Source organism: Homo sapiens, chromosome 5 (assembly GCF_000001405.40).
Source record: "Homo sapiens chromosome 5, GRCh38.p14 Primary Assembly".
NCBI classification, from domain to species: Eukaryota; Metazoa; Chordata; class Mammalia; order Primates; family Hominidae; genus Homo; species Homo sapiens.
This window is the reverse complement of record NC_000005.10, coordinates 157,532,947-157,549,478: the sequence shown is the minus strand read 5'-3', so window position 1 is coordinate 157,549,478 and position 16,532 is coordinate 157,532,947. Positions and strand designations below refer to the sequence as shown.

The 16,532-nt window shown below is 45.6% G+C and overlaps 1 protein-coding gene across 2 annotated transcripts in view, besides 4 other annotated features; it reads left to right on the top strand.

Moving 5' to 3' along the window:
* Window positions 1-16,532, top strand: part of ADAM19 (ADAM metallopeptidase domain 19) — a 98,472-nt gene that overhangs the window by 26,297 nt on the left and 55,643 nt on the right. For both annotated transcript variants that reach the window (NM_033274.5, XM_047417858.1), the window contains exon 4: window positions 11,488-11,566. In NM_033274.5, coding sequence (NP_150377.1) covers window positions 11,488-11,566 — 79 coding nt within the window. The remainder of the gene's footprint in view (window positions 1-11,487; window positions 11,567-16,532) is intronic.
* Window positions 7,603-7,712: an enhancer, noted in NCBI's record as "active region_23520". NCBI's record gives its function as "activates an Ori minimal core promoter by ATAC-STARR-seq in GM12878 lymphoblastoid cells {active_cell/tissue: GM12878}" and the evidence as "EXISTENCE:reporter gene assay evidence [ECO:0000049][PMID:35858748]".
* Window positions 7,873-7,932: an enhancer, noted in NCBI's record as "active region_23519". NCBI's record gives its function as "activates an Ori minimal core promoter by ATAC-STARR-seq in GM12878 lymphoblastoid cells {active_cell/tissue: GM12878}" and the evidence as "EXISTENCE:reporter gene assay evidence [ECO:0000049][PMID:35858748]".
* Window positions 8,343-8,442: an enhancer, noted in NCBI's record as "active region_23518". NCBI's record gives its function as "activates an Ori minimal core promoter by ATAC-STARR-seq in GM12878 lymphoblastoid cells {active_cell/tissue: GM12878}" and the evidence as "EXISTENCE:reporter gene assay evidence [ECO:0000049][PMID:35858748]".
* Window positions 8,583-8,702: an enhancer, noted in NCBI's record as "active region_23517". NCBI's record gives its function as "activates an Ori minimal core promoter by ATAC-STARR-seq in GM12878 lymphoblastoid cells {active_cell/tissue: GM12878}" and the evidence as "EXISTENCE:reporter gene assay evidence [ECO:0000049][PMID:35858748]".

Below are 16,532 nucleotides of genomic sequence, written 5' to 3'. Positions count from 1 at the left end.
CAGACTGAGAAAACAATGTGTAAATGTTTGGTCTGGATCAAAGGGAACCTAAAACTGTAGTGCTACTAATCTTTTAGGAATTTAGTATCCCTAACTAGCCAAATATTTGAATTCAGAAGAGTGATATGTTGAGGTTGGGGAACGGGTTGCTTTTTCTTCCACTGGTGGGCTACCAGAGGATTTGAGTGGCATAGAGCTCAATATTTTAATTCTCCCATTTTTGACTTTGAGTTGCATTCTCTTGCCTCAGGCAGACCCATGTGGTCAGGGAAGTAGGTGAGCTACTTCTAGGAAACATACTTGAAGTGCACTTAAAAGCTAGGCTGTATTTCTACACCTTGGAAGAGAAGTAGCTTTCCTCCCACCCCTCCCCACTGAAGAACAATTTGGGCTGAGCCAAGAGGATGGAGGTGTACTTGGTGGATGGAGCCCATGGATTGGAAGGGGCTGAGCACAAGGCATTGATGGCTTCTTCACAACTTCTGTAGATGGGGAAGCCTCCTGAGATGCAAGGCTGGTGGGCGGGATGCAGACGGATTTATGGATATACATTTGGATTTGGGAGAGGCTCTTTCGGCCTTCTCTTTTCTCCCAGCTCCGAGGATGTGATTAAACTCTTCATCTAGGCTCTCTGGAAATTGGAGGGTGTTTCCTACTCTTTACCCTTTGTGGTTGGGCAATGGAGCATGACTATCCTGGAGAAAAATGAGAGGAGGCTGACAATGTGGCCCCTGGACAGATTCTGTCCTGAAAATGAAACTACATTTACATTTCACCCAGGAGATGTTTTTGATTTTGAGCAATTAAGATTTGCTTTTTCTTTATTTAGAACTCAGTGACATACACAGACCTTTGGCTGACCCCTTGAATAAACTAAGTGAATAGTCTTCTGGGTACTATGGGGCAAGTTGCTAGGTCTTGCACAAACTCAACTGGGGCAGGTATTGAGTCAGAGAATCCCTGGCTTTTCTGGCAAGTCTCTTCCCAGTGTACTGGGCTTGAGTTCTGGACTACTCATTGAGAATTCCTAATTTATGTTATTCCTTTCTTCTCTTCCTTCATTAAACAAATATTGTGAGTGCCAACTATGTGGCAGGCACTGGGATAGGTCCTGGTTATTCCCGGGAGAATCAATGGTGATCAGAATAGTCTCTGCCATCATGGGGCTTAGAACGTAGTAGAGGGGACAGATAATTAAACAGTTACAGAACAATGTGGGACCTGCTAGGAGGGAGGAAGTAGAGGGTACTGTAGGAACATGGGGAAGGGGAACTTCCTCTGGATTGGGGGCACGGGAAGTCTGATAGGAGGAAGTAAAGAAAAGGGGGAGTGTGATGGTGGTGGAGAGTGTGGCAGAGTTGGCTCATACAATAGGGAGTATGTGCCAGGCAGCACAGATCACAGGATCAAAGGCCCAAAGGCAAGAATGACATTGAAAATGAAAAGTTCTCTATAGTTAGAACAGAGAGCAGGAGGAAGGAAATGATGAGAGAAGAAATTGGTGAGGCAGGCAGAGGTGAGTCCTTAAAGGGCCTTGTAGGCACCTTAAAGAGTTTGGGCTTTTATCTCTAGGGCAATGGGAAGCGGATGAAGAATATTTTAAAAGTCACATAGTGACAGCATCCAAAACGCATTTGAGAAGGACTAATTTAGGGAAGAGGTAGCTGATATAAAGAGAAGAGGATAGATTCCAGAGATATTTATAGGGTGGAATCATGGAAACTGGGAAATGGGTTGCATGTGGGCTGAGGGAGAGGGTGGTTTCAAGGGACAGTCCAAAGTTTCTAGCTTGAATAAGTAGCAGGATAGTTGTCTTAATTCATTTTGCATTGGCAAAACAGAATCCTAGAGACTGGGTCACTTATAAAGAAAAGAAATCTGTTTCTCACAGTTCTGCTGGCTGGCAAGTCCAACATCAAGGTATCAGCGTCTCATGAGGGCCTTCTTGCTATGCTACCCCATGGTGAAAGGGAGAAGGGCAAGATAGCACATGAAAAAAAGAGCAAGAGAGCAAACTTGCAGCCTCAAGCCCTTTTATAACAGCATTAATCCACTCATTATGGTGGAGCCCTCATGGCCTAATCACTCCTCATGAGGCCTACCTTCCAACACTGTTGCATTGGGGATTAAGTTTCCAACACAGGCTTTTGCGGGGATACATTCAAACCACAGCAATGGTGGTGTCTGTCCCTGGAGTTTTCCTTAGCTTGTGGTGGGACCTTGGACAAGCCACCTCTTTCCTTGGATCTTTAGGTTTCTCATTAGATAGGTAATTAGACTCAATGGACTAATTAGACTAGGTAATAATTCCTAGTCACCACCTTGGCAGGATCATCATGGGGATGCAATAATAAAACCTGTGTGAAAAGCAGTGTCCTGTACTCTTTCCATAACGCTGACAGGCCCAGCAGAAGCAAAATCTGTGCCTCCCCTGGTTTTCTCTGTTTTCTCCTCCTTATCTAAAATTCTAAGCACTTGGTCTCTTAGGAACTGGTGAGACCTCTGCCCATTCCAGCAGCTGAGGCTTCATTGGGGACCTCTCTAGGGATTCTGAAACCGGCTTTTGTTGAAAACAATGATATCATTGAGTAGGTGGAGCTGGGCCGGACTTTCCTCAGCCGGTTGAAGGAGAAATGGGGTCTTTATGACTTCTGTACTTGTGGCTCTTTTCCAGCCTCTTCCATGGCTCCCATGTGTCTCACTTCCCCCCTTTCCTCCTTGCAGAAAACTGGCAGTCTCCACGTTTTCTCCTCTTGCATCAGTCTCCCCGGGGAGAGGGCCAGAAGGGCCAAGGAGCTATAATGGCTGCATTATATCAAGCATGGTTTCTTTTTCCAAGGCCCCCCTTCTGGAGAAGGGAAGGGCAAGTCATGGAAAGGGACTCCTTTGGAGGGAGACTGGAGTGCTGGGGAAAAGAGTGATCTAAGTGTTGGAAGGAATGTCAGGCTCTTTGTATTCTAGAAGCTCTTTATCTCTTGACTCACTGATGCTAGATTTGGGGCTTGGGTAAGAATGCAAAGGTCAAACTGGCCTCTCAGGGATATGGTGATAGGAATATGGGTTTGGAGAAGGAGGGCAGCCATGTTGAGTGAGTATCCTTAATTCCTGATCCCTAGACTGGCCTTGCTCTCTGCTCTCAACACGCACACATGCATGCACACACGTGTGCGTGCACATATACATCCCTTCTCCATAACTGTGTAGACAGCTTTTTAGGAGAAACTAGAAATTGGTTACCACACTGGTTTGCAGCTGTTCCAGGAAGGAAGATGAGCTGTGAAACAGTGCCTTCTGGGGACCAGACAGTGACACCTGCCCTCTGCATGGTGTCAGCATTTGCCAAGCACTTGGGAGCTGCAGGTGCCAAGCCAGGAGAGGGGCAGGAAACCTAGGCCTGCCTCACTGGCTGCTGAAGCCCCATCCCCTAGCATAGTGCCTGCACATCACGGACCTCCATACATGTTTGTGGAGGGTGCAAGTGGACTTGCAGGTGCAGGGCCTGCAAGGCCTGATGCTCAGAAAGGTGCTGCGTCTTGATCAAGGACCCCCAGCAAATAGTGACGAAATCAAGCTGTGAGAAACTCTGGCCTCCTGATGCCAGGTGGCCTGCAGTTTGTACCACATTACACTGCTTAATATGCAGTTATTCATGAGATTGCATGAAGAGCCTTTCTCTCTGCCTACTGGGTGTGTCTGGATGGCCCAACTCTTGGCTTGTCTACCACTGACATTTAGCTTACTCTAGTTTATTGAAATGATGGGTTTAGAAACAAAAACTGTGTGATGCTGGGCAAGTTGCTTTTGCTTTTTTTCAGATTCTTCATCTGTAAAAGTGGAGGTCAGGGTTGGGCAGAGAGGGTGGTATATAAATAATGTTTCATTGCGGTAGACTCTGTAACTTACACACTAACCCTCGCTTCTCCTAAACAATCTTTTTGGAAAGGATATGGGGCAACGCATAGAATGAGGGAAAAGTTGAAAAACTAAGGTTTGGAAAGGTTGAGATCCTAGAATGAATAGACGGTCCCTTCATGTACTATCATCTTGAAATTCTGAGATGAGATCTGACTGTCCAGGCATATCATGAAGCATTCATTTGGCCAGGCAAGGGCAGGGATCTTGACCAACTCCAGGTGCCCTAGTCAGCAATGCAACGAGAGGGGAGTATTTCTTTAAATGCAAGTTGGGCCACTGTTTATCTCAAGAAGGTGGCATGGATGCTGGGCAGGCTCTGACAATAGGTATCCACTATGATCTATGAGGGCTTTCCAAGTTCTGACATCCTTGACTTATGCTTTGGGTGCGGTCTGTGTCTTAGTATGCTAAGAAACATTGGGCAAGTTTATGAAAGTTACTGGGATATTTAATCAGAGCTTAAAAAGGGCTAAGCACCTACATTTAGCAGGCTGGTTTGTGGTCCTCACCTACCTGTTTTATGTTTGTTTGTTAGTTTCAGGGAGTGGTCCGCTTATTCCCTTTTTTCTAAGCATATTCTCACAGCTCCAGTGATCTCAGAGGGTCCTTCTCTTCATTTCCCCTGTGTCTTATCCACACCGTTTTTCTTTATGATATGGCAGTTTCCTCATACCCTCTTACATTCGTCTTTCCCTTCAGGTTTTCTGTGGTATCGGCTAATCTGATCAACACTGTGGTTATTTACCAAAAACTGGTTGCTAGAGAAGTTGTTCCTACTCACCATTTTCGCTTTTAGATTTTTCTCAGAAATTCTAAAGGTAGCACCTCATTTCCCCGAACTGTTCTTATCTAATTCCAACAAATACACATAATGGGCTATTCGGGACACTGGAAAACAAATTTGTGAACTCTTCTTGGGTGAGCCATTTTGAGGGCCCCGCAGGTCCCTGCCAGTTAAGTTGTCTGATCTCAAGAAGTCAGCTCTATTTGTGCAGAGAGGTTACCCATCTTCACAGAGGCAGCCACGAGGGAGGCCTGAAGAGGATTAAGTAAAGACCCTGCTGGCCAAAGGAGTCAGTGGTGCTCATCCAAACATCCTTTGGTATATAATGTAAAAGCAAAACACAGGACCAGAAACTGGTCGGAAGGGTGCCAGGTCTTGTGCGGACTGGGAGAAGATGTCGTGGGAAGTGGTTGGTGAAAGGGAGTGTTGACTTAACGCATTGTTTGGAAACTTCCTTAATAGGAAGTTAAAGAAAACATACTGAGTAGCATTGGCCTTTTGCCAGGCTTCTGGATGGCGCCATTTTTGCCTTCGGAGTGTTGCTTCCAAAGCTGGTCCTCTGGCAACGATGGTGCTTATTCAAGGGAGTCCCTGGGATAGGAGGAGGTCCCAATTTTTTACTCTAGGAGCAACCTCCAAAGTTCCCCCTTCCTTCGCCTTTCTGTTCCCTCATAAAGGAATGTGTCTGCTTGCAGCCCCCTGGACTCATCAGTCCCTTATTTGGCTTTAGGGCCATGCCTTTGGCACGTTGGTTTGTTTCCATTCCTTTGGAGTCAGAGGTGGAATGAGTACTGATGTAGAAATCTTGGTTCTGAAGCAGCTCTGGCTGTCTCTTCCCTGCTTTTCTTTCAGCATCTTAGAAAACAAAACAATACTCACTGAATTTATTTTGTCCCAAATCTAGACTAGTGCAGGCCATGACATTAGAATAGCACTCTGCTTTTCAGAGACACTTTCCAGTACCTGTCTGTCCTGGGCATTGCCATTTCTGCTTGATAGAAAGGGAAACTGAGGCTGAGTAGTTTGTGACTTGCACCGTATCACCTAGCCAGTTAAAAAATATTGTCAAAATTTACAAACCCAGAAGGAGAGAGACTAGTATTATAAACCTCAGATGCCCATTACCTAGATTTAACAATGATCAAGATTTTGCCACGTGTATATATAGCTAGTGCTGGAGAAAATGATAGCAATATTTGTAAAGCACAAATACTTTCTACTTTACAAATAATTCTTTCACATTTGTTCATATGATCTTCCTATATGCCAGGCACTATTCTAACATCTTACAGGGGCACTGTGAAGTAGATTTTGTCATTCTCCTCATTTTATGATGAGAAACCATAGGCACGGAGAAGTTACTGACCAGTCTGAATTCACACGACTTATAAGAGCTAGGATTTGAATGTATTTTCTCATTTGATCCTCAGCATCGCTGTGATACTGATGGTGATTATTAGTCTGTTCATTTTGCAGTCTAGAAAATGGAGGGGGTTTATGTGGCTCACGTGAAAACAATTTTTATACAAATACATAGTGAGCACTTCTCGAAGTTTTATTTATCTAATTAATGGGCTAACCAGCAAGATGATAAAACTGGTTTAAAATTGGATAAGGGAAACTAAGACGTATTTGTGTGGCGGTGTGTGTGTATTTAATAGTGAAAAAAGGAATGCTGAGATAAGATTGCTAAATTAGACACAAAACTAGTTAATATCCTAGGGGCTGTAAAATCATAACCTTTGGGGTTATCTTTTCTACTAGATGGAAATATTTGCATTTCTGTTGTATCTTATTAAGTTTTTACAAGTTAACATCTGATTTTACAGAGTGGAACAAGGGCTGTCCTAATTAATTGTAAATAGTACATCTTTCAAAGCCACACTCTTCCCATAAAGTCCAGAGAACCGTAGACAGGCCTCTGAGAGTCTAAGGCTTGGCTGTGCTCCCTTAGTGTTTTTTAATTTAATGTTTTGAGACAGAATCTGGCTCTGTCACTCAGGCTGGAGTGCAGTGGTGCAATGTCAGCTTACTGCAGCTTCCGCCTCCCGAGTTCAAGCGATTCTCCTGCCTCAGCCTCCTGAGTAGCTGGGATTACAGGTGCGCGCCACCACACCTGGCTATTTTTTTTTGTAGAGACGGGCTTTCGCCCTGTTGTCCAGGCTGGTCTGGAACTCCTGGCCTCGTGTGATCCACCTGCCTCGGCCTCCCAAAGTCCTGGGATTAGAGGCGTGAGCCATTGCACCCAGCCCTGGCTGTACGCTTGTGTGACATTGAGAGGAACCATAGTCATCTTTTGCTTCATTTCCAGGCTTTGGAAGGGCAGTTGCCTAGTGCAGCTGCTGCTTAAACCAAAGCATTCCGACTTTCCCTCTATGCTGGGTTAGCACCATCTTTAGACTTTTGGAAGGTGATTAGGAGGCTAGAAATAAAAAAAAGAATTAAAAATGTTAAAATTGCTCAAATGGAGTAGAATAATTCCCAGAACCCGAAAACATAAATCACCTGAAAAAAAAAAAACTATTAAAAATACAGATTTCTTAATCCTTCCCTAGAAAAGGGAGGGGATTGTGTATTTTTGAACAGTCTTTCCAGGTGTTGTGCAGTTGTTGGGCTAAGTCGCATGGTGAGAACATTATTACTAACATAGGCAGGATGAAGACCCTCCAGGTGAAATAAGAGAGACCAGAAAAGTGGACCTCCCAAGGCATCATCAGGGTATAAATGCCTGGAGACTCTTGGAAGAATTAGATAGAGAAAGGCCCAGAGAAAGGAGGTGTCAGCAAAACTTGCTACTGAGATGAGCAGAGTGATGCTCGCCTATGCTGAGCTCGTCTGCAGAGGGTGTTTTTCAAGGTAAATGGGAAATTGTTATCACTTTATCTTCACTGGTTTGCTTATCTGAAGCAGGAGGAAGAAGGTTTGAGCTCCCAGAAGATGTTTTGCAAATTCATTTTAGTGTCACTGCTCCTTCCTCTCTAGAGGGTGGTTTAGCCTAGAGAGGCATTTGAAATTTGTCTGACGATAAATAGAACTTAAAGGAATTGTCCTGAGTTTGAAGCTTCTGAGCCTTAGGAAAGACGGGTCTGAGCTGTTTTCAGGCTGCAGTGTACTTTCAGGGCCTGGCTGCTTGTACAGGTTCCAGTTCTTCTTCCCTAGAGAGTGACCTAATGTTTTATGTCCGGTATTTGGGGGTAGCTTATTTTCCTAGGTGGGAGTCTGAAGATGCAGGTTTTGCTCAGGGACTTTGGAATCTAAATGACCCAGATTTTGCTCAACTCTAGTGCTGGCTATTATTATGATGGTGCCGAGACATGGCAGAGTGTCCTACTGATTTCTGCCTGTCCGTGGGCTCCTGAGCACAGAGCAGACAGAGCAGGGGGCAGCAGGGTAGAACAGAAATTGCTTTTCTTTTAAAGCTAGAAAAAAGGAGTGGGCGGAATGGGAAATCTTGCACAGTCCTTTCTCTTCCTGGATGCACATCACTCACAAGTCGTTTCCTGAAAATCCTAATGCAATCCAATGGTGAGAGACGGCTTCCTGCCGGTCTGCTGAGCCAGCCCCTCGTCAGGGAGGAGATGAGAACAAGATGTGGTCAGAGAATGGGGCAGCTGGGCTGGGCCGGGCTGCTCAGTGACCATGTGCCCTCCTCTCTGTGGGACAGCAGCGTCCTTTGGTTCTGAGAGCAGCACCTGGACACATGGGCGTATGTGGACCTAGCTTGGGGGAGCTGCAGAGTTGTTCAAACAGATGGCTGGCCCTAACCCTAGAGTTTCTGTCTGATTCATGAGTCTGGGTGGAGCCTGGCAATTTGCATTTTTAACTAGTTTCTAGATGATGCTGATATTGCTGCTTCAGAAAGGGTGATTAGGTGGAAAATGAAAGCGGATTGTTTTATGTAGATTCAGAGGCCAGAATGAAGGCCTGTGGGTGCCAGTGACAGAGGTGTAGTTTTTAATCCGGAGTAAAACATTAAACTACTGTATGTGGTCAGAAATGGAGTGGGTAGTCTCAGGAGTAGCCTCTCCCTGGAGGTGTCCAGTGGTGAATAGCCATTTGGCAGATTCCTACACGAGATAAAAGGTTCATTCATTCGTTTGCGAGTTTATTCACTCATTCACAGAATGCACATGTACTGCCTGCTTGCTAGGTGCTGGGGGCCGGGGAGAAGACTTCAAAGACACAAGGTCCCTGTTTTTGGGGAGCTCACAGTGTAATTGGGGTTTGACTACATGATTTCTAGGGTTCCTTTCAGTGCTGAGGGTCAGAGAGGCCTGTGATGATGGGGTAATGTCACTGGGTGAATGATTTCTCCCCCCTTGCTAAGTCTCAGAAGAGGCTGAGAATATTTTTACCAGGAGTGCATTTTCTGTGGGAAAATTCACACTTCCCCACTGGCACCTGGAATGAACTATTAAACTCTGAACTCCTGACCAGCTGTACATGGCGCAGTCTGTGAAAGCAAACCCAGGAAATGGGCTGCAGGAATGAGCACATTGCGTTTTACCACCTCTCTTAAGTGATGTACTGGAGAGTTCATGGCTGGGGAAAGTTAGAGAGAGAAACTTTCTGGGTTCTTCTGTCATAATCCCTGTTGAAAGCAATAATGATTATCACTAACTTTTACCCAGCTCCACTTTGTGCCAGGCATGGCATTAAGTCTGCTACATTTATTATGTTGTTTGATCCTCATCACAGCCCTATCAAATGAGTATATCATCCTCTTTTTTGTGTAAGAGGAAACAAAGGTTCAGAGACATACATGTACTTGTTCACGGCCGTAGAGGCAGTGAATGTCAGAGCTGGAATCAAAACTTCAGTTTTCCAGTCTCCAGACCATGCTCTAAGCTGCTAGTACACTGAACTACTCATCCATCCATTCATTCGGTAACTAGTTAAGTGGTTTTCTCATTGAACAAATGTTAAGCACTGACATAAACCAGTGAGCAAAACTGCTTGGCCTCTGCCCTCATGAGGCTTACAGCTTTTCTCCCTCAGGCAAATGGGTGACTCCTCCCTCAAATCTTGGACTAGTTAGATGCTAAGGAGAAAGAGAAAGGACTGGGAGACAGATTCTGGCAGGTTAGCCACTGACCCAAAGTTTCCATGTGAATGAGAATTTCTCTTCACAAAGCTGGGGTTTGTGCTTTGCTTTATTTTTACATTTTCCTGTTGGGCTTCTTTTCTTCTTGTCCAAGGCGAGAAGTTGAAGGCCTTGACATAGTACAGGAGACAATTCTTGTGGCATTTGCCTTCTGACCACACACTGGGGATGGAGGGAAATCTGAGCGATCCCAGAACTTAGAGCTGGAAGTGACTCTAGAGGAATTCTAGAGACCCTCTGCGATGACCCTCTCTTGCTGGGAAATGTCACCTCTTTCAAAACCTGGGTTATCCCTGCAGATTCCTTTGGCTTTCTGTGCTGGCCTCAGCCTACATTTTCTTCTTTTTAAGAGCAGTTTTAAATTAAAATTTCAGTTTTCAAAACACCTCTCTGACAGTTAATTTAAAAGTCAACCAACTTCAGAAATATGCAACTTATATTGTAAACATCTTCTGCAACCCCTGAGATAATCACCATCAACAAAGGGCATTTGTTTCTCTCTCTCTTTTTTTTTTTTTTTTTGAGACAGAGTCTCGCTCTTGTCACCTAGGCTGGAGTGCAATGACGTGATCTCGGCTCGCTGCAACCTCCACCCCCCAGGTTCAAGCAGTTCTCCTGCCTCAGCCTCCCAGCTAGGCACCTGCTACCACACCTGGCTAATTTTTGTAATTTTAGTAGAGATGGGGTTTCACCATGTTAACCAGGCTGGTCTTGAACTCCTGACCTCAGGTGATCTGCCCACCTCAGTCTCCCAAAGTGCTGGGATTACAGGTGTGAGCCACCACACCTGGCTGACCTTGACTTTCTGTAGATCAATTCTGCCTTTAATGTGGCTGAACTATTAATAGTTGAAACATCCATTTGACTCTTATATTTTTCTTTTAATTTTTAGAGAAAATTCTAAGAACATTTCTTGAAGTTGCCTGGCCTTTGGTGAGGGGATTCTTAACCTGTACTTCAAGGGGTCTGTGGTGAGAGAAACCAATGTCCAAGTTTAGAAAAGAAAAAAAGGAATTTATTGGAAGAGTAACATAGAATTACCAGGTCTCAGGAAATCGGAACCACTAAGTGTCCGAAAGGGCAGGCAACGGAAGCTTAGGGAACCCTTGTAGCAGGAACAGAAGAACAGATGCATTGCTTCCATCTGTTCAGACCTGGCAGTATCTCTCCACTGGCTTCGCTTGAAATACAGGTCACCCCTTGGCCAGGGCCAAGTAGGACACCTTGATTGACAATCTCACCAAAATATGCATCAGGGAAGAGTTATTCCCTTAAAGAAAAATTGGTCTGCTGATACTAAAAATTGGTAGATCCAGTGCTGGAAAAATCAACCACGGTACACAACAGGGTTCATAGGCCCCGGGAAATTTTGCATGTGTTTGCATGTCTGTTTTCCCAGGACCCAGACAAATATTAAGATCATTGCTTTAGTTCTGTCAATTCCATCTAGTTGGAGTGATGTTCCCATAGTGATGATAAATTATATTTAATTTACATTAAATATAAAATTAATAACAAACTTATGGTTTTCCTTTTTGTTCCTTAGCCCCTTGTGGCTGCCTAGTTTCTTTTGTATGGAGATGCTTGGGATAGTCCTGCCTGGTTCAGTTAAAATCACTCGTTGTTGCTAGGAGGGTGGAGTTCATCCACTTATGATATAAATGTCTCTTTTTATTTTTTGCAGGCAACTTTTTGCTCCTTCCTACACAGAAACCCATTATACTTCAAGTGGTAACCCTCAAACCACCACACGGAAATTGGAGGTGAGTTCAGGTCAACAAATGTCTATCCAGCAGCTGTCCTCTCCCAGCCCTACTCCTAGGACCTCAGGAGATGCCTGATGGAGTTGGTCTCTCCTCTGAAGGGAGTGTTTCCCCCAAGCGAAGACCAAGGGAGCAAACGAGAAGCAAAACATGTATTTGATGTTCATAGGTGCTCCTCCTCCTTTGCTGACTACAATGGCTAAAGAAACATAGACTATTTTAGGGTAATTGCATCTAATTACAATTGATGCAAATTACTGTGAAATATACATGTTCTTTGCTTTATGTTAATTACCCACATGTTAACAAAAGTTTTAGTAAAAGGAGTGACTTACTCATAATCCTGTCGTCTCATCCAATTAGATGTTTGATTAGTCCTTTTTAAATGGATGTATAACATTTACAGAGTTGTAATCACTGTGCATATACATTTTGTAGTCTGCTATTTTAATGTGATTTTTAAGTTATGAATATTTTATTTTGCTTCTATATTCATATTGGACATTTTTTCCCTCAAAGTTGTTTTTGAGTAGGGATGTTTACGCAATGTCAAAGATCTTTCATTTAGAAAATGGTCTTTCAGATGGTTACATGTCAGTTTGCTTTGCCACACTCCACTGGTAGACATTTAAAGTAGTGAATGATACACATTTCATGGTGGCTAGCTCTTCTTACAGGGATGCCTATTGGAATTTGTAGGCTCAGAACGTTGATTCTCAACCAGGAGAACCAATGGCGTTGCCCCGACCCCGAGGGACACCTGGCAATGTTTGCAGGCAATTTTTATTGCCGTGACTGGCAGGGAGGATCTACTGGCATCTACATTCTATAATGCATAGGACAGACCCACCACTCCCCCACAACAGAATTATCCAGCTCCAAATATCCATAGTGCCCAAGTTGAGAAACCCTGGATTCGAATGACCATTCTCAAAGTCTGGGCTGGTGAGATGGGGGTGAAGAAGGGAAGACGCACACTGGCAGGAGCAGCAGTGGCCTTTGCCTTTGGGGCAGGACATAATGGACTACTGAGGCACACAGACTGGGAGTTGTGGTGTGGAGAACAGCAGGAGAGGTCCCTCTGCATCAGGACTCCTTCAGCAGCTTCTCATGGAACCTGAGTGTTCTACCAGGCCCATTCTTTAAAATATCCCTGCTGGAGTGCAAGTGTCCAGCAAGATAACACTGGCCACTATCAGTCATTAACAGCTCAGATTAGTTCGCCAGATTACCCCTGGATGGGGAAAGGGACACAGGACAGGTAATTTTGTGTGTGTGTGTGTGTGTGACAGAGTTTCACTCTGTAACCTAGGCTGGAGTGCAGTGGTGCGATCTTGGCTCACTGCAACCTCCGCCTCTTGGGTTCAGGCAATTCTCCTGTCTCAGCCTCCCCAGTAGGTGGGATTACAGGCATGCATCACCACACTTGGCTAATTTTTGTATTTTTAGTAGAGACAGGGTTTCACCATGTTGGCCAAGCTATTCTCGAACTCCTGACCTCAGGTGATCTGCCCACCTTGGCCTCCCAAAGTGCTGGGATTATAGGCATGATCCACTGCGCCCGGCTAATTTTGTATTTTTAGTAGAGATGGGGTTTCACCATGTTGGCCAAGCTGGTCTCGAACTTCTGACCTAAGGTGATCCACCCACCTCAGCCTCCCAAAGCGCTGAGATTACAGGCCACTGTGCCCGGCCACAGTTTTTGATAGATCCAAGAGACGTGGCGCATAGTAACTGGGTAGCTCAGGGGCTGTGTTTTGTGGCTGAATGTGAAGACCAGTGCTGCCTTCTTAACCAAGACTTTCTTGGATGGGGAAGGAGTTGGTAGTGTGGCCGGTGCCTGCAGCAAAGTTGGACTGTGTCTTCTCATCCCCAGGGAGGCTGTCCAGTTGTGACTTCATATTCTTCAATGCCCCTTGGTCAAAACTTTTCCTCTCTTCTTGAGACCTCTGTTCTCTGCCTCCAGGGGCAGGGGTGGGATGGGGGAACAGGCATGCCTAGAAAGCTGTTAGCCATGACAGCCTCCTTCAAACACTCTCCTCTGAGTTTGGATCCTGCCACTTCTGTACCCACAGCTCAAGAATGGGTCTCAGTCCACGAATTTGCCATGAGCTCACGCTTCCTGCTATGAAAGCCCCCTTGGGGTGGCCCCATCAGGCTGAGAAGCTGAGGAATGCAATGACTTCATGACTGATCCTTGACTTGTTCTTTGTGCTCTCTGCTTGTGCATTAGGCAGAGATGTTGTAAGGGCCTTTCAGAAAGAGAGGATTGGAAAAGAACTCCCCCTCTCCCAGAATCCCCTCCTTCCAGAAGGTCTTGTTGACTGAAGCACATCCTAGCTGAACCTTGGGATGGACAACTCATTGTTTGCTTACATCCCCTGCTACTAGACTCTTGCAAAGCTCCCACCCAGGCCCATGGGGTTCTCAGTCAGACTTCCCATTTGGGAGCTGAGAGCTCAATGAAAAATGGGAATGGAATAAACTACTCAGCTGCCCTTGACCCGAATGTTGGAGACTGCACTCTACTACCAAACTTGGCCTGGGGTAGCTGGAGTTCTGGGAACCTTATCAAGACTCATCAGTCAGGCCTTTAGGCGACAGCCTGCATCTAGGTCAGGCGGTTGGGGGAATGGGTCTGTGAATGTGTTCCAACAGAAAGGATGACAGGGTTTGCAATCTGCAGCCAGGGTTGTTATCTTGGCTTTAACTAGTTATATGACCTTAAACAACCCCCTTGACCACACTAGTGTTGAGTTTTCTCATTTGCAAATTGCATATGCTGATATCTGACTCGCAGGGCTGTGGAAGGGTAAGATGAATCACTAATTTTTATGGGAATTCATAAGCAACTCTTCCAACCCCACATTTTACAGATGAGGAAACTGAGAGGAGAAGGGGAAAAGTAACTTGCCCAAGTTCAGTTAACCAGTAAGTGGCAAGGCTTAGGCTAGAACTTGTCTCCTTTGTTGCTAGAGAAGGTGGGGATAAAAGAGCTCTGACAAGCCAAGTTCCTCCTTTGCTACTGCTGGGAGAGGCAGAGGATGGAGCTTGGGGCCAGGCTGCTGGGGTTCCAGTATCCACTTTGCTGTGTCACCTTGTGAATGACTTAAAACCTCTCTTTCAATTTCCCCCTTTAAAACATGGCAATAATAATATCTGCCTCATAAGATTGTGGTCAGAATCACAAGGAAAAATCTGCTAAGTTGTTCAGCAAGCAGTAAGAGCTGGGTAGATGTTAGCTCTTTTATTTTAGACATAGGGCCTCGCTCTGTCCCCCAGGCTGGAGTGCAGTGACATGATCATAGCTCACTGCAGCCTCAAACTCCTAGCTTCAAGTGATCCTCTTGCCTTGGCCTCCCAAAGCATTGGTATTATAGGCATGAGCCGCCATGCCTGGTTAGATGTTAGCTCTTATTGTTTTGTTTGTTTGTTTGTTTGTTTTGAGACACAGTCTCACTCTGTTGCCCACACTGGAGTGCAGTAGCGTAATCTTGACTCAATGCAACCTCTGCCTCCCGGATTCAAGCAGTTCTCATGCCTCAGCCTTCCGAGTATCTGGGATTACAAGTGCCCGCCATCACGCCTGGCTAATTTTTGTATTTTTAGTAGAAATGGAGTTTCACCATGTTGGCTAAGGTGGTCTCAAACTCCTGGCCTCAAGTGATTTGCCTGCCTCGGCCTCCCAAAGTGCTGGGGTTACAGGTGTGAGCCACCCCACCCGACCTCTTACTGTTAATAATAGTAAGTTGTAGGTGTCATCATCACAAGAGATAGTGTATGTGAAAGCTCTGTAAATTATAAAGCATGCTACAGAAGCCAGGTGCTCTATTTTCGAGAGAACTAGGGCTGTGAACACTCTTAGCATCCATTCAAAGATAGGAAGAGGTGCAGGGATTCTTCACAGCCATCCCTGGGTTTCAGTTCTTTCTTTTTTCTTTTTTTGGAGACAGAGTCTCGCTCGGTCACCAGGCTGGAGTGCAGTGGTGCCATCTCGGCTCACTGCAACCTCCGCCTCCTGGGTTCAAGCAATTCTCCTCCCTCAGTCTCCGAGTAGCTGGGACGACAGGAGTGCACCACCATGCCCAGCTAATTTTTTGTATATTTAGTAAAGACAGGGTTTCACCGTGTTGTTGGCCAGGATGGTCTAGATCTCTTGACCTCATGATTCGCCCACCTTGACCTCCCAAAGTGCTGGGATTACGGGCATGAGCCACCGCGCCTGGCCTCAGTTCTTTCTGTTAACCAGCGTTTTGAAACTGTAGCTGATACACGTTTCTGAACTCCTTGATTCTCTGTCATTCCAACTTCTCTGAGCCCCATTTACTCCACACAGGCCCGGCCCCTCTTCTCCCCATGAGTAATCCTGTGCTACGGGGTTTGTGGCTCCCCTGTTGAGTTCTAAGGACCAGGTTCAGGACTTGAGTGCTTCATGAGGGGCCTCCAAATCCCAGATCCCACGGGTAGGTTGAGAAGCCACATGACAGGCTGGCATTTGAAAGCAGTTGGAATCCTGGCCAGGAGGAGGGTTTTGCCTGCCACGCCTTCTTTCATAATCACAGCACACTGGCTTTCCTTTGTGCTCCTCTCAAGGGTGGCATCTGACTTGTTTAAAGTCCAGAAGAGTTTGATGCAAAGACAGGGGTTGGCTCTGTCCCTCCTCCTGACTATGAGCTTGAATGGGCAGAGGAGCCACATCGCTGGCCGATGGATCATATGCAGATGAAAGGGCACCTGTGGTCTGGAGAACGAGGCCGTGTTGAGTGTCAGCTTGGCCTGTATCCTTTGATCTGGCTGCATGGCTGGCTGGATATGCTGGAGCATTGGCACAGCTAGGGCTTTGGATTCAGCCTCTTGGTGGGCTTCCAGGCGCCTTGAGGCCATATTCTTTGATAAAGGAGAATTTCATGATTATTTGGTTGCCGATGTTTATCGCCTGCCACTCTCGGCCAAGTACTCTACTAGC